The sequence below is a fragment of the Homo sapiens genome, chromosome 17, assembly GCF_000001405.40.
Source record: "Homo sapiens chromosome 17, GRCh38.p14 Primary Assembly".
Lineage (NCBI taxonomy): Eukaryota > Metazoa > Chordata > Mammalia > Primates > Hominidae > Homo > Homo sapiens.
The window spans coordinates 63,245,254-63,273,253 of record NC_000017.11 but is presented as its reverse complement, the minus strand read 5'-3'; the positions used below and the strand labels follow the sequence as shown (position 1 = coordinate 63,273,253).

General features: G+C 36.8%; 1 protein-coding gene across 21 annotated transcripts in view; it reads right to left on the bottom strand.

Moving 5' to 3' along the window:
* Positions 1-28,000, bottom strand: part of TANC2 (tetratricopeptide repeat, ankyrin repeat and coiled-coil containing 2) — a 461,469-nt gene that overhangs the window by 154,450 nt on the left and 279,019 nt on the right. For all 21 annotated transcript variants that reach the window (XM_011524597.3, NM_001394998.1, XM_006721810.4 and 18 more), the window contains one exon: positions 5,381-5,506. In XM_011524597.3, the coding sequence (XP_011522899.1) occupies positions 5,381-5,506 (126 nt within the window). The remainder of the gene's footprint in view (positions 1-5,380; positions 5,507-28,000) is intronic.

The following is a 28,000-nucleotide window of genomic DNA, read 5'->3' as shown; positions in this document are numbered from 1 at the left end:
TGGAGCAATAATGGCTCATGGCTCACTGTAGCTTTGGCCTCACAGGCTCAAGTGATCCTCCCACCTCTGCCTCCTGAGTAGCTAGGACTACCACCATGCATGGCTAATTTTTAAATTTTTTTGTAGAGACAGGGTTGTTGCCTAGGCTATGTTGCCTATGTTGCCTAGGCTGGTCTTGAACTTCTGGCTCAAGTAAGCCTCCCACCTTGGCCTTCTAAGGTGCTGGGATTACAGGGACAGCCATAGCCGCCTGTGTAATTTTTTTATGAGTATAAAAGGCTCCCGGGACCAAAAAGTTTGAGAAACACTGCTCTTAACAGAATAGTACAAGATTCTGCCTATATGAAGTTCCCAATCAATGCATGGCTTGTCACCTCAAATGTTCTTTGGACATACATCCAGAGGATATTATTTCAGACACTCTCTACACTTGAAATCAGTCAGTCAATAAACTTAGTTATCTACTGGGTATACTACAGTGTATATAAGCATTAACTACCATCTCTAGGATCATTTAAAACCAGAATTGTGATTAAAAAACTATTTCAGAATAAAATACCTAGGAATACAGTTAACCAGGTAGGTGAATTATCTCTATCAGGAGAACTTCAAAACACTGCTCAAAGAAATCAGAGATGACACAAACAAATAAAAAAAATTTCATGCTCATGAATAGGAAGAATCAATGTCGTTAAAATGGCCATACTGCCAAAAGTAATTGGTAAGATTCAATGTTATTCTTATCAAACTGCCAATGACACTCTTTACAAAACCAGAAAAAATTATTTTAAAATTCATATGGAACCAAAAAGAGAGCCCAAATAGCCAAGGTAATCCTAAGCAAAAAGAACAATGCTGGAAGCACCACACTACCTGATTTCAAACTATACTACAGGACTGCAATAACCAAAACAGCATGGTACTGGTACAAACAGACGCATAGACCAACCGAACATAATAGAGAACCAGGAAATAAGACTGCAAACCTACAACTACCTGGTCTTCAATAAAACTGACAAAAACAAGCAATAGGGAAAGGACTCCCTATTTAATAAGTGGTGCTGGGATAACTGGCTAGCCATATGCAAAGACTGAAACTGGATCCCTTCCTTACACCACATAAGAAAATTCACTCAAGATGAATTAAAGACTTAAATGTAAAACCCCAAACTATAAAAACCTGGAAGACAACCCAGGCAATACCATTCTGGATAAAGAAATAGGCAAAGATTTAAAGATTTCATGATGAAGCCACCAAAAGCAATTCCAACAAAAGCAAAAATTGACAAACAGGATCCAATTAAACTAAAGAGCTTCTGCACAGCAAAAGACACTATCAACAGAGTCAACAGACAACCTACAGAATGGGAGAAAATTTTGCAAACGATGTCTCTGACAAAAGTCTAATACCCAGCATCTACAAGGAACTTTAAGTTAAGAAATTTAATTAATTAAATTTAAATTAATTTGTTAAGAAAAAACAGATAACCCTATTAAAAAAAATGGACAAAGGACATGAGCAGTCACTTTTCAAAAGAAGACAAACATGCAGCCAACCAGCTTATGAAGAAGAGCTCAATGGCAGAACACACAGACACAGGGAGGGGAACATCACATACTGGGGCCTGTTGGGGGATGGGGGGGGCAAGGGTGGGAACAGCATTAGGATAAATACCTAATCCATGCGGGGCTTAAAACCTAGATGACGGGTAGATAGGTGCAGCAAACCACCATGGCACATGTATACCTATGTAACAAACCTGCATGTTCTGCACATGTATCCCAGAACTTAAAGCAAAATTAAAAAAAAAAAAAAAGAAAAAGAGCTCAGTGTCATTGATCTTTAGAGAAATGCAAATCAAAAGCACAGTGAGATACCGTCTCATAACAGTCTGAAAGGCTGTTAATAAAATGCCAAAATATAACAGATGTTGGCGAAGCTGTGGAGAAAAAGGAACACTTATACACAGTTGGTGGGAGTGTTTTCCACAATCAGTTCAACCACTGTGGAAAACAGTGTGGCAATTCCTCAAAGATCTAAAAATAGAACGGCCATTCAATCCAGTGAAATCACTGGGTATATTCGAAGGAATATAAATTGTTATCATAAAGACACATGCACACATATGTTGACTGCAGCACTGTTCACAACAGCAAAGACATGGAATCAACTTCAATGTCCATTGATGGTAGACTGGATAAACAAAATGTGGTACATACACACCATGGAATACCATGAAGCCGTAAAAAAGAACGAGATCATGTCCTTTGCAGGAACATGGATGAGGCTGGAGGCTGTTATCCTTGGTGAACTAATGCAGGAACAGAAAACCAAATGCCGCATGTTCTCACTTGTAAGTGGGAGCTAAATGATGAGAACGCATGGACACATAAAAGGGAATGACAAACACTGGGGCCTACTGGTGGGAGGAGGTAGGAGGAGGGAAAAGATTGGGAAAAATAATGAATGGATACTAGGCTTAATACTTGGGTGATGAAATAATCTGTACAAGAAACCCCCATGACTCATACCTATATAACAAACCTGCACATGTACCCCTAAACTTAAAAGTTAAAAAAAACCTATTTCACAGAACTTGTCAGAGTACTCCTTTAAAATGTATGAAAGATACACCTCTATTCTAAAGTGGAAAGATATACCTTAATGCAGACTAAAAAAGATTTTCAATCATTTCATTACTTTTTTGGGGGTAGTTTCATTTTAATCATAATCAGAAGAAAAATATGTCAAACTGAAATATGACTGTAATTTGTACATTCCTTTAAATAAAATTAGAAAGCATGATGTGACATGTTTTTAAAAATTATTCCAGGAAAACAAATCTGATTTTTTCTGAAATAAAGTACAACATTGTGGATATAATAATCACATATTATAAAGGCTTGCCAAGCAGGTCTGAAGAAACATAAGGAAAGTTTATCTGCCCAAGTTTGCTTTCCTTTCTTGATAATGTGTTTTAAGTCGTATCCTAAGCCATACAATTCATCTGTAAACAATAATTAAGATAACATGTTACTTTTTGAGAGAGGATTATTGTTCAGGGACTCTAAATTCTGAAAATTCTGAATTAAAGTTATTACTAGTTTTAGTATACTTTACACTGCTAAGTAAACACCTTGCTTTTTATGGATCAATGTACCCAGCTGGATGGCATGTTCTAACCGTTTAGACTGCTAAAAGGAAAGCTCTTGAAAAATAAAGATGACTTCAAGGAACTGAAATACTAACATCATAGCATCTTCATCAATGGACAAACTCCAGCCTAAGTATTAATGTAAACAATAAGTTAAGACACTATTTGCAAGGAATATGAAATTAGTATTTTTAGAAATTCAATATTCAGTCAGAGCCCTTCCTAAAGATTTAGGTGAGCTTTGGGAAAATCTTTGAATGTGCTTTTGTTGTTTCACTGAATGCTTCGGCTGAAGATCAATGCAATGGAAAAGATCTTTGTTGCATTCCAGATAAAACTGGTATTTGTAAACATCAAGCTCACCAGAATGTATCTGTTAAAGACCTTATTAAATCTTCAGATACTACAAGCAGATAGGTACTACCACATATCAACAGAACTCAATATAAAGGTTTCCCAAAAATTTCACTGCTGAAATCTGTCAAATAATTTTGTTTTCTATGTAGTATAACATCTATTATTCAATGATTAGTAAAGCAGAAAATAAAGTCAACAATGTCAGTATGTTTTTTAGTAATAAGATGGAAGATGATGCCAATGTGGCAGATTTTCAATCAAATCTGAAGGTCCATATAGATCAGTAGTTCTGTCCAATCTTCTTTATTACGGCTGTGCATTCTGGTCGGGGCGCAAATCAATTATTTGGTCTCTTGATCAACTTTATTCAGACTTTAGATGTAATTAGTCTAAAATAGTGCTTGATATATTTCCATTTTCTGGACTGTAAACACACAGTTGCATATGCCATGCAACTGGTATATGACAAACTGAAGAACTGGCAAGCAGGATGGACAAAAGGACTGGGAACTAAAAGTATGACTGAGGCTATCAACTAACTGCTGTTGATGGGAGGTATGGTAATTGTTGCAATACAATCAATTATTTTAAAATCCTGTTTGCTTAGCCATCACTGAAAAACTGTTAGCATAATGATGTCTAGAGTGGACAGCAGACATGTATAAATTCCTTCCCATGGGAATTGTGCACGTGGCACTATACTGCTTAGAGTAGGGAATAGGACAAGGGGTGAAGAGGAGAGCTAAAGAAAGATGAAAATCATCCGTAAGATAAAATTAAAAACACACTTGTGGTAGAGATAGAGATTGCTAACATACCAGAGAAAGGAGACTATCTGTTAAAAGCTATCAGAGACAGTTTGGTTCATTTTGAGCAAACGAGAGGCATAGAAATACCAATAAGAGGCTCCTCAACTAGACCATCACTGTAACAAAATGACAGTCTTTAAAAAGATCTGGTGCCAGCTTGGAGAAGCATGTAGCATGCCACAAAGAAGGTAAGGCAACAGGTACCTGAGTGAGAAAAGGATAGGTTGTGTAGCTCTTGCTAGGCCAGGATTATAGGCACTTTCTAAAAGACCAAGATAATAAAATATTGCATGTTACTAGAAATGGCCACTAAAACAAAAATGAAAAAAATTCCCTAGCAAAATACAGCCTGAGTATCCCTTATTTAAAATGCTTGGGATCAGAAGTGTTTTGAATTTCAGATTTTTTTGGACTTTGGAATATTTGCATATATATAATGAAAGATCTTGGTGATAGGACTTGGGTCTAAACAAGAAATTCATATGTTTCATACACACCTTATACACATAGCTTGAAGGTAATTTTACTCAACATTTTGTGAAACAAAGTTTTCACTGCAACCCATCACATGAAGCTAGGTGTGGAATTTTCCACTTGTGGTGTCATGTTGGCACTCAGAAAGTTTTGGATTTCGAAGCATTTTGCATTTTGGATTTTCAGATTAGGGATGCTCAACCTGTACATTATGATCAGCACAGTTCACCTGCAATATGGCTAGGGCTGAATCTGGTCCGCAGTCACTTCTGAAATCCAAGATCTTAGAAAGGTTATTTCCCCCATTACCACAGCCCCTTTACATCTGTTTTCTTTCAGAATTTCGAGGAACTAATGCTTCCAAATGTTGATAATTACACAATGCCTGTCTATGAGGAGTACAATGTATTTGTGTTTATCTTTCTCTAGACTCAGCAGAAATGAACTGGTCACATGCTAAAATGGATCATTTCACTTCTTAGGGAGGTTTAAGTAAGTATGGGAATAGGAGACAAAGCAACTTTTTGGCTTTTGCCCATTTCCATCTGTTCCCGGGCACCCTTAAAGCCCTTCTGTGGTTCTAACCTCTTAAATCCTGCTGTGTGCGAGCACCACCCATGCTCTGTCTTGGCATTCGTAGAGAAGTTCTCAAAGGTGTATGTCTCTGCTCATCCAGGTAAGCAAGGTCTTCCAAGTGGGCAGAGCTGGTGGCTGACAAGAAAGAAAAGTTTAGTTAGAATATTTAAGTTCAGAAAATGTCTTTCAGCTAGTCTGTATCTCCGGAACTTTGGAATCAGGGCTTACTCCAGCCAAAAAATATATATGCAAAATATGTAATATATATAAAATACATGTATTTTATGCCTTTAAAAATCCAAATAAGTGGTTTGTAAAAAATATTAACCCTTCATTTCACTTGCTACTTTAAGACAGTACATAATAAACCTGTGCTTGCTAAGAGGTTCTATAACCTTAAACAGAGGGATTAAATATTTCCTATTCAAAAAGCAAAACAAACTAAGCAAATAAACATAAACCCTTACTTCATAAAAGAAATAGATAATGGTAGATTTGAGATTTAAAATGAAAAACAAAATGCTAGTCCAAAAGCTTAAAATGCCATCTTGCCTCTGAATGTCTGGATCATGAAAGCTGCAGAGACAGTAACAAAAAGGAAGTTTCTTTGTTATCAAAAGAAATAGTAAATGGGTTTTTACTAAAAACTGAGTGAAAGAAAAAATTCATTTTACAAAAATGTTTCAAATTATAAGAAATACTAGAGTATCCATTTTATTGTTTGAAAATATTAGCTACCAGTGGTTCATGCTAGTAATCCCAGGACTTTGGGAGGCTGAGGAGAGTGGATCGCTTGAGCCCAGGAGTTCAAGACCAGCCTGGGCAACATGGCAAAACCCTGTCTCCACAAAAAATGCACAAAAAAATTAGCCAGGCGTGGTGGTGTGCGCCTGTAGTCCCAGCTACTCAGGAGGCTCAGATGGGAGGATTGATTGAGGCTGGGAGGTCAAGGCTGCAGCCAGCCATGATCATGCCATTGCACTACAGACTTGGCAACAGAGAGACCCTGTTTCAAACAACAACAACAATAACACCACAAAAAAAGGAAGAAAATATTAGCTACCAACTTATTACTAACAACTGGTTTGAGTTGGTGAGAGGGAAAAAAAACCCCTAAGATTATCTTTTTATGGCTGCTGGGCCTCAAATGTTTTGCCACCAAATACTTGGGGAGTATATTTCTGTATTGTATGATGTGTTGAGATTACATGGTCATTTGCCTCAAAAACTTTATAATCCAAAATTTTAATCAAGAAATCCAATTTTGCCACCAATGATATATACTACCTTACCAAATAGCTGATTATAAATAAGCTCTTCAATATAAACTAAGAAGCAAAAAAGGAAGGGGAGACAGCTCAGAATTCCCTCAGCATAAGGAAACAAGAATTATGACAGTAAGTAAACTTACATCTCCAACCTCATATATAAGTTGTTTATGATGATTGACATTGGGTACTGATATTCATTTGTTAATCTGTTCATTCATTTAACAAATATAACAAAATTGTTAGTAAAAAAATGTCAGCACTGTGCCGTAACAATACTTTTACCATAGTTTCTAATCAGTGTATAGGAAAGAAAAAAGATGAGCAAGGAAACATTTTACTAAAGAATGTAGCAGATAGCAGTCAAAAGAATATTTTATTAAAAATTTATTAAAATTTTATTAATATTTTATTACAATTACAGGAATGGAATGGACCTTAAGGGCTATCCCATCCAACACCTGTGCAATGCTCAACTCTGTTATCTTTTTCAATGTAGTTGTATAGCTTATGCCTGAACATGTCACTATCTCTTGATACACCATATTTCAACTTTGCATAACTCTTGTTATTAGCAATATGGTTCTATTTCTCTACCTCTTACCCTCTCTTTCTCTTGATGGTACAGATGATTCTTCTGCTTATATCAAAAAGAAGAAGGAATAATCTTTTTAAAAGTTTATTACTAAGGTGAAAAGAACTAAAAGGAATGAACATGTATTTATTAAACACCTGTAATGTGCTGGGTAGTGTGCAACATGCTTTTCTTGAATTATGGCTTTTATTTTAAAGGGAAACAAAAAAAAAACAGAAAGTGTAACAATGAAGACATTCTGTCTAGTCTCTTAAGAGAAATGCATGGGCTTCTTGCCTGGAGAGATGCTTGGAAGATTTCTATGTCTTTGCTAAGAATCCCTATGGGTAATTTTTGGCCTCTCCCATATGAAGATAATAATATTAGGAGAGTCTGAGCACAACTATTCCCCTAATTTTACTAAAACTACTACTACAAGCATCATCTCCCTTCCTTTCCTGGATATTTTGAACATAAATATTACCTAAAACACTTACTAAGTAGTTACAAAACATTAGTCATTATATGAGTCCTTTGTATTAGGATATCCTACTTTTCACAGATATAGATTCCAATTCATATGTATTCCACAGCAGCTCTGAAAATGGGTCATTAATCCCAAACAGAGGCCATACCATTGGCCCAGGGAGACAAGTCAGTTGATTAAGAAGACTGATATAGGTTGAGTATCCCTTCCCTGAAATACCTGGGACTAGAAGTGTTTTAAATTTTGAATTTTGTGGGAGATTCTGAAATGTTTACATTATACTTACTGGTTCAGCATTCATAATCCAAAAATCTGAAATATGAAATGCTCCAATGAGCATTTCCTTTGAGCATCAGGTCAGCACTCAAAAACTTATGAATCTGGAGCATTTCAGATTAGGAATACTCAACCTGTAACTGATTCTAAGCAGAAGCTTTCACCAAAAATCTTCCTCTGCCCAAGGACTACACAGAGCTCAGAAACTGTTGCGACTATTCTAACAGAGTAAACTCTTGATATCATGACATTTAGAGTATGGTAAATATATTTGGGAGTGATGTTGGCAACAGGAGAAGGTAATGAGTTCCTTTTTTTTGAGACGAAGTCTCACTCTGTCGCCCAGATTAGAGTGCAGTGGTGCAGTCATGGCTCACTGCAGCCTTGACCTCCCAGGCTCAGGGTCTCCTCCCACTTCAGACTCCCAAGTAGCTGGAACTACAGGCATGCATCACCACGCTCAGCTAATTTTTTAAAATTACTATTTGTAGAGACAGGGTCTCTCTTTGTTGCCCAGGCTGGTAATGACTTCTTTGCTCTTTTCCTGTGCCTCTCCAATGCCAGCAAGCCACACACACTATTAGCAGTTTACTTTCCATATACACTACTATAAAAATAGGTAGTTTCTCAACACAAAAAGTTGAGAAATCTTTTAACTTTATACCATCTCCCCAAATTACTCAATTAAATAAGTTTAATATTACAATGAAGCTTTCAATCCAAGTTCTCAACATTCAAGACACAATGATAACCCAGTTTCTCCTTGCAAAGGCGAGGTGAAACACTCTGGTGATACTGGCATTTTGCTTGGTCATAATAGTCCAAAAAAGGCAGTGGAAGGGAGCTACTGGTTATCTCTGCATTTGCTGCTCCCCAAAACATGCCTGGAGCAAACTGAAATACTGCCCCCAGTTCTTCAGCCTTTCCTATATACATGCTCTTTCTCATCTGTCTTTGCAGTTCTCACCACCAGACCCTGAATCCCATTTTGCAGTAATTCCCATCAGAGGTTGAGTACACTTCCCTGCCCTTGACTTTGGGTTTGATCATTTGACTTGCTTTAACTAATGGTATATTAGTAGATGTGATACAAGGAAGGATTTAAAATGTGTTTGTAGAACTGGGCTTGTCTTTTTTGGTTCTGCCAACATTATGAAAGAATATGTCCAGTTAGCCCACTGGTCCAAGGAGGATAGAATAAGGTAGATCTGGAGCCAGTCTCCAGCTTGGAGCCAAACCTAACCAAACTGCCTAGACCAATCAATCCATAGTTAACCTGAGATGAGTGGGTACAAATAAATGATTATGTTGAGCTGTTATATTTCCGTATAGTTTGTTACACAGCATTATTGTACCAATAGCAGAGTGATATACCTGTCGATCTTTCAACATCTGAGTATGGCTTAGGCTGTAGAATTCTAATAGCTCTACACGAGCAGGGACTATGTCTTATTTACATTCTATTCTCAATAAATGCATTATGCCTGGCATAAAATAGGTGCTCAAAAATGCTTATTAAATTAATTTGTTGAAAGGGGACCAAGGGCTGTTTGGGTAAAGTATGGTTTCAAGAACAGGCTTGCTGACTTTCTTTTGTACTGCATCTACAAAGGCAGAGGAAAATTCTTTCCTGTTCTATAACATGGTAGATTACACTAGCTTTCTTTGGTTTAAAAGGTAGAATCAGCTAATTTCAAGAATAAATACAACAAAAAATAAACAACTCAGATTTGATTTACAGAGAAATCAAAGTGATATTCTGTGAAATATAATTGGCACATTTTATGGTACTTTAAGCTTCAAAAGACATTTTTATAATTAAGTGTTTGAACCAACTTTTATAATATAACTCTGAAATGCCCAATTATTTTACTGACACTTTGGACCAGTTATCATAAAGATTGCCAGGATGTGTCCTGTCTGCTCTAGATCTCTGCTTTTATTTGATCTTCATTTAGTTATAATATATAATTATCCTACTTTTCTATCTTAAATAAGCAAGATTTGCAGTAAAAGCTCTTTTTAAAAGATTTCTTGGCAGGCTGAAAATTCAGAGTCAGCTCATCACTATTAATATATAGAGTTTTACATTTAATAACGTTAATGTTCTTCTCTGTGCTCAACTATGATAAGAGCCGATTAAAATGTGCTTAACAATACACACGCTTTATGTTTCCCGTCTTAGTTATCTAGGTCTACTGGAAACCCAGCTAAAGGAATTTATCCAAATTGTAGATATAATTTCTATAAAGAAATAAGTATTTGAAAGCTAGTTTAGGGAACTTAAACTAAGAAAGGGAAGTTAGATGCCACATTTTACATCAGAGAGAGTAAAAGAGTAGCAAAAGTATTAAAAAAAATCTTTATCTCAGCATTCTGAAGTTAAAACTACCCAGAAGAGGTATCTAATGTCTTATTTTAAAACATTAGGGACAACGACAAAACCATCCCTATTGCTGTTCTAATGTTTCCATGAATTCTTTCTTTCTTTTTTGGGGGTTGAGAGGAGTTTAGGCCAAGATGCAGGGGGTGGCCCTGGCCCATAGTTGTTTCTTATGTTTAATCCAATGCCTCCTGCTTTAACTGAAGTCTATTTTCTTTTGTTTGATTCTTTATCGATATCTATGTAGCTACCAAAAAAAAAAAAAGAGGACTACTAGGGATTCAGACCCATCAAGAATGAAGACTTAGGACATCCTACCAGGGAAAGAACCCTGACTAGATGTGGTCCTGGCTTAGGGCAAAGGACACATGGGATAGGCAGTAGATGAAAAAAGTTACAAATATCAGCTGGGTGCGGTGGCTTGCGCCTGTAATCCCAGCTACTAAGAAGGCTGAGGTGGGAGGATCTCTTGAGGTCAGGACTTTTAAGACCAGCCGGGGCATCAAAGCAAGACCTCATCTCTGAAAATTAAACAAACAAACAAAAAAACTGATTGGGTATAGTGCGCATGTCCGTAGTGCTAGCTACTTGGGAGGCTGAGGTGAGAGAATTGCTTGAGCCCAGGAGTTTGAGGCTGCAGTGAGCACCACTGAACTCCAGCCTGGGCGACAGAGTGAGACTCTTGTCTCTTAAAGAAAAAAAATCAATCTCAGTTTCATAACTAGCTACAGAAATGACGACTATAGCAGCTATGCATATTTTGTTCCTTGCTTTTGTTATATATGTGTGTGTGTGTTATACTAATTTATTCTTTTTCTCGCCTCCTTTCCCTTATTTTATAAATACAAGTTTTGATGTAAATTAAGTTTCCAATTTAGTTTTTAGATAACAAACCATTCAGATAGGACTGTGTCAGAGTTTGAGGAATAATTAACATAGCCAGAGATGGATAGTGTTATATCATCTAAACATAGTTAAAGTGACTGTTGGAACTAGCCTCATTTTGGAGAGGTAAATATGTCTTCAATTACATGAAAGATACTTCCATCTTGTTAGGTTAAAATACAGAGTTTGTTGTGCTGAAAATGTTTGGAGTTTCAAACATGTATAGTTTGGAAGCTCAAATAAATATAGAAGGGTGAGTATGGATGCTGGTTAGCCAAAAAGGTGGACTTTGTTAATTGTTAAGGTTACTGGAGAAATAATTTGCCCCTTCCTGTTCCTATCAGCATTACCCTAGTCTTACTTGTTCAGCCAAGCATTGGCAGTTCATTCCAGGAGCAGCAGTTGAATCTAGTTTGCAGTTTTTCCAAGGGAGGCGGGACTAACCTCATCTCACGTCTTCAGATACTGGCACTGGGTGACCAGTGCCTTGTTCTTAGTGGTCTGGGTCTAATCTCCACAGAACCCTTCTTGGAGCCCTTGTATTAGCCTCAGCTGAGCAGGATCCCCTTCATGGAGATGTAAGTGTCAGCTTTGTGAGGCCTTTCTTCCAATCTTGTATAGTTTAATAATTCTTGCCTCTTTTTGTTTCCTCAGGTCCACAGGTGGTAACTACTTCCTGCAGTTGTTAAATCCATGATACCTCAAGGTTTTCTTACTACCTTTTCAGTTCTTTAAACCTAGTTAATGATTTTTTTTTTCTTTTTTGAGATAAACTAGTCACTCTGCCACCCAGGCTGGAGTACAGTGGCACAATCACAGCCCACTGCAGTCTCAATCTCCTGGGCTCAAGCCATACTCCTGCCTCAGCCTCCGAAGTAGCTGGGAGGCTAAGGCAGGCGCACACCACTGTACCTGGCTAATATTTAAAAACAATTTCTTTTGTAGAGATAGGGCCTTGCCACATTGCCCAGGCTAGTCTTGAACCCCTGGCCTCAAATGATCCTTGTAACTTGGCCTCCCAAAGTGCTGGGATTACAGGCATAAGCCACCGTGACCAGCCAACAATTATTTATATTATCAAATTCAACCCTTATTCTGTTAAAATAAGTATGCTTTTATGTCTCCTGACTGGCCCCTAAATGATACAGGATAGAAAAGAATTGAACACCAGTCCCTTTCATATACATGATGTTGATAATAAAGCAATATCACAGAATGTAGATGCAAAAGAAATTTTTTTTTTTTTTTGAGACAGGGTCTCATTTTGTCACCCAGGCTAGAGTGCAGTGGTGTGATTTTGGCTCACTGCAACCTCTGCTTCCCAGGTTCAAGCGATTCTACCTTAGCCTTCCGAGTAGGCGTGCACCACCACTCCTGGCTAATTTTTTGTAGAGACAGGGTTTCGCTGTGTTGCCCAGGCTGGTCTTGAACTCTTGAGCTCAAAGCAATCAGCCCACCTTGGTCTCCCAAAGTGCTGGGACTACAGGCGTGGGCCATCGCACCCAGATGAGAAATCTTAAAAGATCACCTAGTATAAACACCAGCAAATGATAATCTGTGGACCAAATATGGCCTGCTACCTGTTTTTGTTAATAAAGTTTTACTTGAACAGAACCCTGCTTATTCATGTAAATACAGTATCATTTATATCAGAGCTAAGTAGTGATATAGGCCATGTGGCCTGCAAAGCCTAAAATACTTACTAGCTGCCTTTTAATAAAAAAGTTGCTGAATCCTGATCTATTCAGATCCTCTCATTTTATGATTAGGAAACAGTGGAGTGACTTGTCTAAAGTGATTCAGTCACTGGCAGTACAGCAGCCCATGAAGCCAGGTATCCTGACTCTCAGTACAATGAGTGCCTCCTTCCTTCCCACTTTAAAGCTAAACAGATTTAAATCTCTTTTTAAAAGCTTATTTTTTATTCCTTATTCATCTTCGCCACTTTCTTTTAATTCTGTTTTATGGCTTCAAAGAGTAGTAATAGTGACCTTGCTAATGCAAAGTAATGTACCCTGTATATCATATACTAATAAATCACAGCTCTCTGCGCTTGAAATATTTTCTGCAGTAAGAAACAAAATGAAAAAACAAACAAAAGCCCCCAAAACACTATTTTTCATAAGAAAATAAAAATAATTATAGGGTACTTTTTAAGCTGATAAACTGAAGAGTAATTTGAAAAGAAGATTAATGGAAATAAGTATCTTCTATTTACATTAAAGCAAAATTCAAATAAAATCTTAACAGCTGGGTGAGCGACAGAAATTTCTGGTTACCATTATGGCAATATTAATGGCACAGTATATAATTTCAAAGCAAGGTTCTAGGAGAGTTCGTTTATTAAAATGGCTCACATTAAAATGGTTTGACATGTTTTAATTAAAAGAGAATGTATTTTTCATTAATAGTGAGTAAAAATGATAATAGAAATGTATAAAATGGAGTGCAGCAAAATGCTGTATTAAGGGAAAAAAGCCTACGAGGGAAGGTGGAACAAGATAGTCAAATAATACCCTCCAACGATTGTTTCCCTGTCCCCCTGCAGGAACACCAAACTGAACAACTATTCACATAAGAAAGCACCTTCATAAGACCCAAAAATCAGGTGAGCAATCCTAGTACCTGGTTTTAACATCATATTAAAACTTTGGGTGCTGGTGACCTAGTGAGACACCAGCTGGGGTGGCCAAGGGAGTGCTAACGTCACCCCTCCACTAACCCCAAGCAGTGCAGCTCACAGCTCTGGGAGATGCCTTCCTTCCACCTGAGGAGAAGAGAGGAGACAGTAAAGAGGACTTTGTCTTGGAACTTGGATACCAGCTTAGCCACAGTAGAATAGGGCCGCAGGAAGAGTTCTGGGGCCCCTATTTCGGGCCCTAGCTCCCAGAAGACTTTTCTAGACATACCCCGTGCCAGAAGGGAACCTGCTACCTTGAAAGGAAGGACCCAGTACTGGCAGGATTCATTATTTGTTGATTATAGAGCCCTTGAGCCTTGAATCAACATCAGCAGTACTCACACAGCACTTGCCACAGGCCTTGGATGAGACCCAGGGCCATGCTGACCTTAGGTGTGACTCTGTGTATTCCCTTTTTGAGGGAGGACTCCTGCTTGAGGAAAAGAGAGGCAGGAGTGAAGGGGGCTTTGTATTATAGATAGGGTACCAGCTTGGCCATGGGGGTAAAGCACCAAGAGGGCTTCTGGGTTCCCCAATTCCAGGCCTTGGCTCCTGGATGGCATTTCTGGACCTGCCTTGGACCATAGGGGAGCCACCTACCCTGAAAGGAGAGACCCAGGCCTAGCAGCATTCACCACAAGCTGAATGAAGAGCTCTTGGGCCTTGAGTGAACATTAGCAGTAGCCAGGCAGTACTTGCCATGGGCCTGGGGTGTTGAGACTCCTTCTACACGATGGAAGGTGAGGAAGAGTGGGAAGGACTTTATCTTGTGGCTTTGGTGCCCGCTCCACTGCACTAGTATGGAACACCAAGTAGATTTCAAGGTTCCTGACTCCAGGCCCTGGCTCCTGGACAGCATTTCTGGATCTGCCTTGGGCATTAAAGAGGAGACAGAGACTGGGGTAGAATGTTTATTCAAAGGGAGAATAACAGAGAACTAAGAGAAATATATTAACATTCAAGTAAAAGAAGCTAATAGAACACCAAGCAGATTTAACCCAAATAAGACTATCTCAAGGTACTTTTTCCCAAAGGTGAAGGATAAAGAAAGGATCCTAAAAGGAACAAAAGAAAAGAAACAACATACAAAGGAGCTCCACTACATCTGGCAACAGACTTCTCAGTGGAAACCTTACAGGCCAGTAAAGAATGGCATGACATATTTAAAGTGCTGATGAGAAAAAAAATTCTATGGTAGAATAGCGTATCCAGGGAAAACATCCTTCAAACATGAAGGAGAAACAAAGGCTCTCCCAGACAAACAAAAGCTAAGAGATTTAATTAACATCAGACCTGTGCTACAAGAAATGCTAACCAGAGTTCTTCAATCTGAAAGAAACGGACATTAATGAGCAATAAGAAATTATCTTAGGTACAAAACTCACTGTAACAGTATAGTTCACAGACCACTGTAATTGTGATTTATAAACTACTCATATCTTGAGTAGAAAGCCTAAAAGTTGAACCTATCAAATATAATAACTACTTTTCAAGACATAGATAGTATAAGATATAAATAGAAACAATACAAAGTTAAAAAGCAGGGGAGATGAAGTTAAAGTGTAGAGAGTTTTTATTAGTTTTCTCTTTGCTTATTAGTTGGTTTGTTTTTGCCATCAGTGTTAAGTTGTTATCAGTTTGAAATAAATGGGTTATAAGATGTTACCTGTGGCTGGGTGCGGTGGCTCACACCTGTAATCCCAGCACTTTGGGAGGCCAGGGCAGGTGGACTGCTTGAGCTTAGGAGCTCAAGACCAGCCTGGGCAACATGGCAAAACCCCATCTCTACAAAACACTACAAAAAATTAGCTGAGCATGGTGGTGTGCACCTGTTATCTCAGTTACTAGAGAGGCTGAGGTGGGAGGATCACTTGAGCCCAGGAGGTGGGGGTTGCAGTGAGCTAAGAACACGCCACTGCACTCCACCCTGGGTAACAAAGTGAGACCCTATCTCAAAAACAAAAACCGAAACCAGATGTTATATGCAAGCTTCACGGTAATCTCAAACCAAAAAGCCAACAACAGATACACAAAAAATAAAAAGCAAGAAATTAAAACATACTGCCAGAAAAAAATCACGTTCACAACAAGGAGGGCAGGAAGGAAATAAAGAAGAACACAAAACAATGAGAAAAAAAATAACAAAATGGCAGGAGTAAGTCTTTCCTCATCAATAACAACCTTGAACGTAAATGGAATAAACTCTGCAATCAAAAGACACAGCGTGGCTGAATGGACCAAAAAAAAAAAAAAAATACCAACCAACCAACCAAACAAAAAACAAGACCCAATTATCTGTGGCCTACAAGAAACACACTTAACCTACAAAGACATATACAGACTGAAAATAATGGGATAAAAAAGATATTCCATGTAAATGGAAATAAAAAAAGAATAGGAGTAGCTATAGTTATATCAGACAAAATAGATTTCAAGACAAAAATTATAAAAAGAGACAAAGAAAGTCACTACATAATGATAAAGGGCTCAATTCAGCAAGAGGATATAACAACTGTAAATATATATGCACCCAACACTGGAGCACCCAAATACATATGCACCTAACACTGGAGCACCCAATTATTATTAGAGCTAAAGAGATAGACAGATTTGAATACAATAATAGCTGGAGACCTCAACACCCCACTGTCAGCATTGGACAGATCATCCAGACAGAAAATCAAAAGAAACATTCGACTTAATCTGCATTATAGACCAAATGGATCTAATAGATATTTACAGAACATTTCATCCAATGGCTGCAGAATAGACATTCTTCTTTTCAGCACATGGATCATTCTCAAGGGCAGACCATATGTTAGGTCACAGACCAAGTACTAAAGAATTAAAAAAAATCATATGAATTAACTTCTATGACCACAATGGAATAAAACTAGACATGAGTAACAAGAGGAACTCTGGATACTATACAAACACATGGAAATTAAACAATATGCTCCTCATGATCAGTGGGTCAATGAAGAAGTTAAGAAGGAAATTAACAGATTTCTTGAAACAAATTAAAATGGAAACAGAACTAGTATGGAACACCTATAGGATACAGTGAAAGCAGTATTAAGAGGAAAATTTACAGCAATAAGTGCCTACATAAAAAAGGTAGAGGCCAGGAGCAGTGGCTCATGCCTGTAATCCTAGCACTTTGGGAGGCCGAGGCAGGTGGATCACTTGAGGTCAGGAGTTTATGAGACCAGCCTGGCCAACATGGTGAAACCCTGCCTCTACTAAAAATACAAAAATTAGCCAGGCGTGGTGGTGGGCATTTGTAATCCCAGCTACTCCGGAGGCTAAGGCAGGAGAATCGCTTGAACCTGGGGGAAAGAGGTTGCAATGAGCTGGGATCACACCACTGCACTCCAGCCAGGGCAACAGAGTGAGACTGTCTCAAAAAAAAAAAAAAAAAAAAAAGAAAAGTCAAATAAACAACTTAATGATGCTTCTTAAAGAACAAAGTAAACAGTAAACTAAACCCAAACTTAGTAGAAGGAAAGAAATAAAGATTAGAGCAGAAATAAATGAAATTGAAACAAAAAATACAAAAGATCAATGAAATGAAAAGTTTTTTTTGGAGAAGATAAAATTGACAAACTTTTAGCCAGACTAAGAAAAAAAGAGAGAAGACCCAAATAAATTGAAATCAGAGATGAAAACGACATTACAACTGATACCACAGAAATTCAAAGGATCATTAGAGACTACTATGAGCAACTATATACCAATCAATTGGAAAACCTTGAAGAAATGGATAAATTCCTCAACATACACAACTTACCAAGACTGAACTATGAAGAAATGCAAAACTTGAATAGACAAAGTAATGAGATCAAAACCATAATAAAAAGTCTCCCAGCAAAGAAAAGCCCAGGATCCAATGGCATCACCGCTGGATTCTACCAAACATTTAAAAAAGAACTACTGCCGGCCGGGCGCGGTGGCTCACGCCTGTAATCCCAGCACTTTGGGAGGCCGAGGCAGGCGGATCACAAACAAGGTCAGGAGATCAAGACCATCCTAACATGGTGAAACCTCGTCTCTACTAAAAATACAAAAAATTAGCCGGGCGCCTGTAGTCCTAGCTGCTCGGGAGGCTGAGGCAGGAGAATGGTGTGAACCCGGGAGGTGGAGCTTGCAGTGAGCCGAGATAGTGCCACTGCACTCCAGCCTGGGGGACAGAGTGAGACTTCGTCTCAAAAATAAATAAATAAAAATAAATAAATAAATAAATAAATAAATAAATAAATAAATAAATAAAAAATAACTATTCCCAATCCTACTCAAACTATTCAAAAAAGTAGAGGAGGAGAGTATTTCCAAACTCATTCTATGATTCTAGATTACACTGATTCTAAAACCAAATGAAGACCCATGAAAACAAGAAAACCACAGGCCAATATTCCTGATGAACACTGATGCAAAAATCCTCAACAAAATACTAGCAAAACAAATTCAACAACACATTAAAAAGATCATTCACCATGACCAAGTGGGATTTAACCCAGGGATGCAAGGATGGTTCAACACACACAAATCAATCAATGTGCTACACCATATCAATAGAATGAAGGACAAAAATAATACAATCATTTCAATTCATGCTGAAAAAGCATTTGCTAAAGTTCAACATCCCTTCATGATAAAAATCCTAAAAAAACTGGGTACAGAAGGAACATACCTAAACACAATAAAAGACATATACGACAGACTCATAGCTAGTATCATACTGAATGGGGAAAAACTAAAAGCCTTTCCTCCAAGAACTAGAACAAGACAAGGATGCCCACTTTCACAACTGTTATTCAACATAGTTCTGGAAGTCCCAGCTAGAGCAATCAGACAAGAGAAAGAAATATAGGGCATCCAAACTGGAAAGGAAGAAGTCAAATTATTTTTGTTTGCAGATGATATGATCTTATATTTTAAAAAACCCAAAGATTTTACAAAAAAACAGAACTAATAAACAAATTCAGTAAAGTAGCAGGATACAAAATCAACATTCAAAACACAGTAGCATTTCTATGTGCCAACAGCCACCAAGATGAAAAAGAAATCAAGAAAGTAATCTCATTTATGATAGCCACAAATAAAATAACTAGGAATACATTTAAGTAGAATAGTGAAAGATCTCTACAACTAAAAAACAATAATGTAAGAAATTAAAGAGGACACAAAGGAAGGGAAAGACATTTCATGTTCATTGACTGGAATCAATCAATATTATTAAAATGTCCATACTACCAAAAGCAATCTACAGATTCAAAGCAATCCTATCAAAATAATAATCACATTCTTTATAGAAATAGAAAAACTAATCCTAAAATTTATATGAAACCACAAAAGACCCCAAATAGCCAAAGCCATCCCAAGCAGCAGGCACAGTGCTCATGCTTGTAATCCCAGCACTTTGGGAGACCGAGGCAGGCTGACTGCTTGAGCCCAGGAGTTTGAGACCAGCCTGCATAACATGGTGAAAACCTGTCTCTACCAAAAACAACAACAACAACAACAAAAACCCTCAAACCAAAAATTAGTTGGGTGTGGGTGGCACACACCTATAGTTCCAGCTACTCGAGGTCTGAGGTGGGAGAATCACTTGAAGTTGAGGTCCAGGGAGGTCAAAGCTGCAGTGAGCCATAATTGTGCCACTGCATTCCAGCCTGGGTGACAGAGCGAGATCCTATGTCAAAAAAACCCAAAACCAAAAATCAAATAAAAATGGATTAAAAACTTAAGTTTAAGACCCCAAACTATGAAACTGTTAAAGTAAAACACTGAAGAAATTTTTCAGAACCCTGGTCTGGGCAAAGGTTTCTTCGGTAATACCCTAAAAGGGCAGGCAGCCCAAACAAAAATGAACAAATAGGATCATATCAAGTTAAAAAGCTTTGTACAAGGGAGGAAACAATCAACAAAGTGAAGAGACAACCCACAGAATGGGAGAAAATATGTGCAAACTATCCATCTGTCAAGGGATTAATAAGCAGAATGTATAAGGAGCTCAAATAACTCTATAGGAAAAAAATCTAGTAACACAATTTTAAAATGGGCAAAAATAGACATTTCTCACAAGACATACAAATGGCAAACAGGCATATGAAAAGGTGCTAAACATCACTGACATCAGAGAAATGCAAATCAAAACTTCAGCGAGATATTATCAAATGGCTTTTATCCAAGAGACAAGCAATAATGAATGCTGGCAAAGATGTGGAGAAAAGGGAACCCTTGTTCACTGTCAGTAGGAATGTAAATTAGGTCAGCCACTATGGAAAATGGTACAGAGGTTACTCAAAAAATTGAAAATAGTACTACTATATGATCCACTGCTAGGTATATACCCCAAAGAAGGAAAATTAGTATCTGCAGTTCCATGTTTGTTGCAGCACTATTCAGGATAGCCAAGATTTGGAAGAAACCTAAGTGTCCATCAACAGAAGACTGGGTAATTGCACCACTGCACTCCAGCCTGGGCAACAGAGCGAGACTCCTTCCAAAAAAACCAAAACACAACAAAACAAAAAACAGACGACTAGGTAAAAAAAAATGTGGTACATACACACAATGAAGTACTATTCAGACATAAAAAAGAGTAAGATCCTGTCATTGCCAGCAACATGGATAGAACCAGAGGTCATTATGTTAAGTGAAATAAGCCAGGCACAGAAAGACAAACTTTGTATGTTCTCAGTCATATGTGAGAGCTAAAAATTAAAATAACTGAACTCATGGAGACAGAGAGTAGAATGATGGTTACCAGAGGCTGGGAAGGGTCGCTGGGGTGGGGGTAGTGGGGATGGTCAAAAGGTACAAAAATATAGTTTGACAGAATGAATAAGATCTAGTATTTGACAGCAAAACAGGGTGGGCTATAGTCAACAATAATTTTGTACAACAAAATGTACAATATTGTACATTTAAAAATAACTAAAAGAGAATAGTTGGAACGTTTGCAACAAAAATAATCAATGCTTGAGGTGATGGTTATGCCATTTACTCTGATGTGATTATTACATATTGTATGCCTGTATCAAAATATCTCACCCACCCTATAAATATATACATATACTATGACCCATAAAAATTAAAAAGAAAGAAGCCTAATACAGATATATTTTTAAAAAATTATACTCATCTAATATTTTAAAGATTAAACTATGAGAGATCTTATACTGTGGAGTACATATTCCAATTAAATAATAGTCATGTAATTCATTTTAATTTTTGTATCAAAAAATCTTCTGGCAAGTACTTTTAGCCACAGGTTTAGTTTCTCACGTTTAACTTCTTATATTTAAATAAAAGCTGGTGGTTTGTAAAATATCAATGTTTAGTGTGGTTTTAACAAGTTAAGCTAATCTTTACTATTGAAATACCTAGGAAGATGAACATCACTATTCTATCGCCTTGATTTATTTCACAAAACCAAGAAATATAGTAAATATGCTTTGGCATGAGCACATTTCTCAATTTCAGACAAATGACACTAGAAGAAAAAGACAAATATTGCCATCACTGAACTGAGTGAATAGTTCATTCCTTCAAAAATCCAAATAGAAGTACAATGACCTTAAAAAAAAGCAGCGATATTCAATATCAAATGCAATAGCTCTGGGGTCCTGATGTTGGGCTTAGACAGCTTTCCAATCAGTAAATGGGGAACTATGGCTTTAATCTGGGACTACAATAAAATTATGGTTGGTGTTATCTGAATCTATCATTTTCCACTGCCTTTTTTTCTTATTAATCATTGTCCCTAGTCCTCTTTTAGTTTCTCTTTGCTTCATCATTTTCAAAATTCTTCTCCTTTCAAATAGATTATTTAAAGGCATATGAGACAAATATTGGAAAGATCAGCCAGGAGACACAAACTTCTGTTAGGTGTTTCCCTTTGTTCTTCTAGTTGTACCTAGTTGTACTCTTCCTCACAGTCATTTGGATCTTTTCCATTTGTATATCATTTTCTGATAAAAAGGCTTGGTCAAACTGCGTCAAACTTATCTTTCCCTTTGCCAAAACTTTGCTTAGGCTGCACTTTCCTTGCTTTCCTAATCAATCTCCCAGTCAGAATTAATTGGTTCTCCTTCTCAGCAACCACATAAATATATACTGCTGTTTAGAATTTGTGTTATTCAGGTAGGTGTTTACATGTCTGCCTTCCTTCACTGATTGTAGTAGGTTCTTGAGAACAAGAAAGAAATGCCCAATTCATCTTTCATTACTCTACCACTTCAGAGTAAATCAGAGTGCCCTGCACATGATACTCAATGTAGAACTAAATTCCAGACTGGTCCTACTTAGATTTCATAATCCGTTTGGCACGATCCTCCTCCTCCTCACTGTTTTGCTTTCTTAATGCTTAACAGATATCACTAAAATAATATGCTTAGCTTCAACAACGTTTCTATTATCTTCCTTCAGATATTCATGATCCCCCTTTTCCTTTTTTCCATAGCATACACCACCTTCTAGCATAGTATATAAATTACTTATAAATTACCAGCCTGGGTAACATTACTTACTAACATTACTTTTCCCAGCAATAATGTAAACTACATGAGAATGGGAATCTTTGTTTTGTTTATTAATGATGATACTTAAGTGCTTTGAACAGTGCCTGGCATATAGTACCTGCTCAATAAATACTTGTCTAATGAACGAATAACCATTATTATATGCACATTTCATGTTTCAGCTACATTTAACAATGAGCAAACAACAACTTAACTTTTGTCTTACTGGGTTATTTTGAAGGAGTTGGCTATAGCAACAATGCCTTGTACATCATCATCTCATACAAACACCAATGACGGCTCTATAGGGACACATACGTTCCTACCTTATAGCGCTAGTCTTACTACGCAATTGTACTGCAAAAATTTTTGAGATAGTTCTGTCAGATTAAATTAACATTATATTGGGAAGATATTAGGTTGGAGGATTGCTTGAGCCCAGGGATCGAGACCAATCTGGGCAACACTGTGAGACCCTGCCTCATTCATTCATTCATAAATAAATAAATAAATAAATAAATACTATAATATTTAACTAACACTTTCCAGATACAAGTATAAGACATAATCAGGTGAGTTCAGATGAATGGAGAAAGCAGAAAAACAAATCTATAACAAAATTTTTATGTAAAGAGAAAAAGCTTTAAAAAGTAAATCCACAAAGTTTGTCATTTAAAAGACTTGTTTTGAGAAGGAACAGGGAAAAGAAAAAAAGAACAGCTTTTTTTTAGATTTCATCAGGTTGTAACAGCTGAGGACAACTCAGCATTTAACTGACATGCATTTTTGAAGTTAAAATAATTTAAATACACTACAAGTGGGCAGAAGAAATCTAACAGACATTTGGTATACAACATTTTAGAGATAACTCTATACTGAGTTTGGAAGACAGTTTGAATTGTTTCTTCTTATATCAGTTGCCACTAATGCAAACAGATTATAGTAGTAAAATTGTCACTCTAGCTGACTTGAGCAAGGAACCTGGAATGACACTGTATGTTTGCTCCTGCCTGGGCAAGAAGCCATTCTGCTGTCCTTATACCCTTGATACATAAAGCCAACGTTCTGACTGCTGAAAAGCCCATTTTTGATTTTTGCAAAATCTCTATTAAAAGTTTCTGATTGGGTTTGCTTAAATCCCCCTAGATTCCCGTTCTGTATTTACCTGATTCTTAAGATCCTTTTCTTAGGAAAACATGAAGCTCCAAGCATTAACATGTAGATGGCCAGAGTTTATATTTTAGCTGACTTCTGTTGTTTGTATGTTTCCTTGATAGACCTCTCATTCTCACACAAAGCACTGACGACAGCTGTTGCAAGCAAACATTTCCTGCTTCCCACATCCCTCTAATTCACTGCCAATCTCATTTTTGGACATCAAGGATGACCGTAGACTGCCTACTCTGATAATTTCTGCCATGCAACCACAAGTCCACAAGAGTCTTCTACTTCCTTCCAACACACAGGCTTAAAAACAAATATGCAATAGCAATTTACATTTTGAAAACAAAACACATTGTTAAATCTTTTTAATATTTTAGAATTTTAATTTAAAGGTGTATGAACAGCTAAGTTTATATTCAGAAAACTGAGCTACTCCAGAAAATTCCGAGCCTTAATATTGCAGACTGCCAAAACTCAACTTTAATCACTTTATCATTTGAGTTAAAAGTTTTCATGTTTTCAGCAAACAGTACTATCCTCATATGTGGAACATGGAGTGTTAATTGTTTTATCTATTTTAACTATGAACTTCACTAGTTGGAGTCTTTATGTTTTTAAAAGTATGCAGCTGAATCTATTTGACCAACGTATTAGTCAAACTTCTATTTTAATACTGTAAATAAAATACACGATTTTAAAAATTTTCACTATATATATTTCTTCCATTTATGTCATATGTAAGTTAAAAGCTTAGAAAAATATTTTTAAAAATAATTCACCATAAATATTTGCATACATGCTGACTCCATTCTCCCCACAAAAGTGTCACAAAAGCCACAAGTCATTTCTGTTCTTTTTAAAATCAAGAATCTTGGCATTATGGAACAATATATATAGTTTTATTCATTACAGTTCAATCCAGTAGCAGCCTCAAGGATTTTAAATAATCCCCTAAAAATTTCCTGGTCATGCCAGAAGATGTGGTCCTAAAAAGATGCTAAGGAGCTTAGGCAATAGAAGGTGATCCTCTTCCCAAATTGGGGAGAAATCTGTATCATGGCAAGGACCATTTAAACAATTATTAACCCAGGTTTTTAAAAGTTACTCAAATGATATTTTTCACATTATTATTCAACATCATTTGGTCTCTAAAATAAATAATTATATTAGTCACACAGAAATTAAGTTTAAAAAAGATGAGAAGTTTAAAAGTTGGATCTGAATAAGGCTTTTTATTACTGGCATTCATCATTCCCATCCCCATCCTGCCCTTGACGTTCAGATGCTTAGAACAATTTAATAAGTGTGAATATACTTTTTTTTCCTATTTCAAGCTCACTTCATATTTGAAATCCTCAATTATTCCTGTTCACCAGAGATTTAGCATCGGAGTCTCCCCAGTTTAGGGAACCACTTCTATGTACCCATTAGAAAGGAAAGGAAAGTATGTGTATCTAGAGCTAAATGAAAAGAGCAGACCCTCCTGAGACGAGAAAATTTAATTTAAAAATGGTTTAGATACGTAATCATTTAAGCTACCAGAGGTTGTGGTTTTATCAAATATTTACATACATTATACATTTAGCAGGGCAATTCCCTGTGAAAGTAATTTTATTTCTCTACGTTCTGGAAAAATTTTCAATCTACAATCTACTAAGTGTTGAAAATAACTGAGTCATTTGGTTTATAGCTTCCTTTTCTGCCTCTTTCTGAGCATCCTGAAACCATGGTTTCCAGATACAAAAAACAACCTAATACAAACTATTCCCTGACATATGACTTGCCCTGTAGGCCAAAGTAGGTCTGTTTGTATTATGTTCAACACTGACAAGAAATAATTTTCTGATGAAGTATTTTGTTCAACACAGTCAATATGTACTACTCCAGTAGCATATAATCTTGTTCTCCAGGACAGAGCTATCTGATCTCTGATGGTATATTTACCTTTTACCCTTCCTTTAAGGATGAGTGATAAGTACTGCTTAAGAATCTAAAGCACTCTGCTAGCCAGAAAGACTAACATTATGGGAAGACAATTGTGGTAAATAAAAAAATCATTCACAATTAAGGTCTAGTCTACAGATGTAACAATTAAGGTCTAGTCTACAGATGTAACAATTTAGGATGATGTAATTGTTTCTATTTTTTTTTTAACATGAGTAGGGGAAGAGGAGGGACAAGAGGGAAAAAATATTAAGTATTTCAGGAAGTATTTTCCAATACTTGAGTTAAAACAAACCCCAATGTCGTAAAGAAATCAGTTTTATAATACATGATATAAACAGTATGTTTTCTATTAAAAAGATAAAGAGGAAAGTGACATGAAAAACATGGTCTATCAGAAAAAAAATTGACAAATTGACCTCACCAAAATTTGACATTTTTATATTTCCTAATATACCAGTAAGAAAACAAAAAGACAAGCAACAGACTGAAGTATTTGCAAATACATGTCTGATGTGACTTGTATCCAGAATATACAACAAGTTCGTACAAATCCAAAGAAAATAACCCAATATGAAAATGTGCTAAAGTTTGAATAGATATTTCACTAAAGAATAAATGAATAGATAACAATACACAAAATAAGCTCAACATTAGCAGTCATTAGGAAAATGCAAATTAAAACCTCATGAGATATCATTTCACACCAGCTAAAGGTAAGACAGTAACAAAGGAGATGTAGAGAAACAGGAATCCTTGTACACTGCCGGTGGGAATGCAAAACAGTACAGCTACTTTTAGAAAAACATTTTTGCATTTCTTAAAAAGTTAAATATAAGCTTACCATAAGATTCAGCAATTCTACTCCTAGGTATCTATCTATCCAAGAGAAATGAAAACATATGTCTACCCAAACACTTGCAAACAAATGTTCACAGCAGCACTATTCACAATAGACCAAAATTGGAAACAATGTCTATCAAATGGTAAATGAATAGACATAATATGGTACAGTCATACAGTGGAATCCTACTTGAAATAAAAAGGAAGAAACTACTGATATATATACGTCATAAACCTCAAAAACATTATGCTGAGTGAAAGAAGCCAGATACAAGAGACGACATACCATATGACTCCATTTATGTGACATTTCCAGAAAATACAAATATATAGACTCTGTCAATTAGTGGTTGCCTGGGAACTGGGAGAGGGAATGGGATTAATGTTAAATAGATGCAGAAATCTTTCTGAGGTAATGAAAATGTCCTAAAGCTGATTCATGGTGAGGGTTACACAACTTGCTACATTTACTAAACATTACTGAATTGTACACTTGAAATGGGTGAATTTTATAATATATAAAATAAGACTCAATATACTTGTTTTTAAAAAAATTTTTTTAAAAATCCACACACAGACTGCTGCTTTAGAAAAAAAAACAAAAAAAAAAGTTCTGGCCAGTTTGGGTACTCATCTTAGGTTTATATACTCAATAAAATGAAACATTTTAAATAAATTATCTATTTGTTGTAGTTATTAGGTTTTATTAAGCAACACTAAAATAGATAATTCAGACAAAGATCTTGTTATGTTTCCTAGGACTGCTATTTCTATACCAAAGAAAAGAGAAAATCCTTCTGCAGAGACAACAGGCCTACATACATATAATTTTTTTTTTTTTTTTGAGACAGCGTCTCACTCTGTATCCCAGGCTGGAGTGCACTGGTGCAATCTTGGCTCACTGCAACCTCCGCCTCCCAGGTTCAAGCAATTCATGTGCCTCAGTCTCCTGAGCAGCTGGGATTACAGGTGCACGCTACCATGCACAGGTAATTTTTTTTTTTTTTTTTTGATAAGGAGTCCCGCCTTGTTGCCCAGGCTGGAGTGCAGTGGCACGATCTCAGCTCACTGCAACCTCCACCTCCCGGGTTCAAGGGATTCTCTGTGCCTCAGCCTCCCGAGTAGCTGGGATTACAGGCCCCTGCCACCACGCCCAGCTAAGTTTTTGTATTTTTAGTAGAGACGGAGTTTCACCATGTTGGCCAGGCTGGTCTTGAACTCCTGACCTCGTGATTCGTCTGCCTCAGCCTCTCAACGTGCTGGGATTACAGGTGTCAGCCACTGCACCTGGCCAATTTTTGTATTTTTAGTAGAGACGGGGTTTCACCATGTTGTTCAGGCTGGTCTCGAACTCCTGACCTCAAGTGATCCACCCACCTTGTCCTCCCAAAGTGCTGAGATTACAGGTGTAAGCCACTGTGCCCTGCCACATTTTATATATTTTAAAAACTGGTATGATTTACATATATAGAGTATATAAATCTTTGGTGTATAGCTTAATTATTTTTATACATGTGAGAGTCTTCAAAAAGTTCATTGAAATGCATCTTATGAAAAAACTATGGATGAATTTCAAAAATTTTTTGCATCAAAATAAATT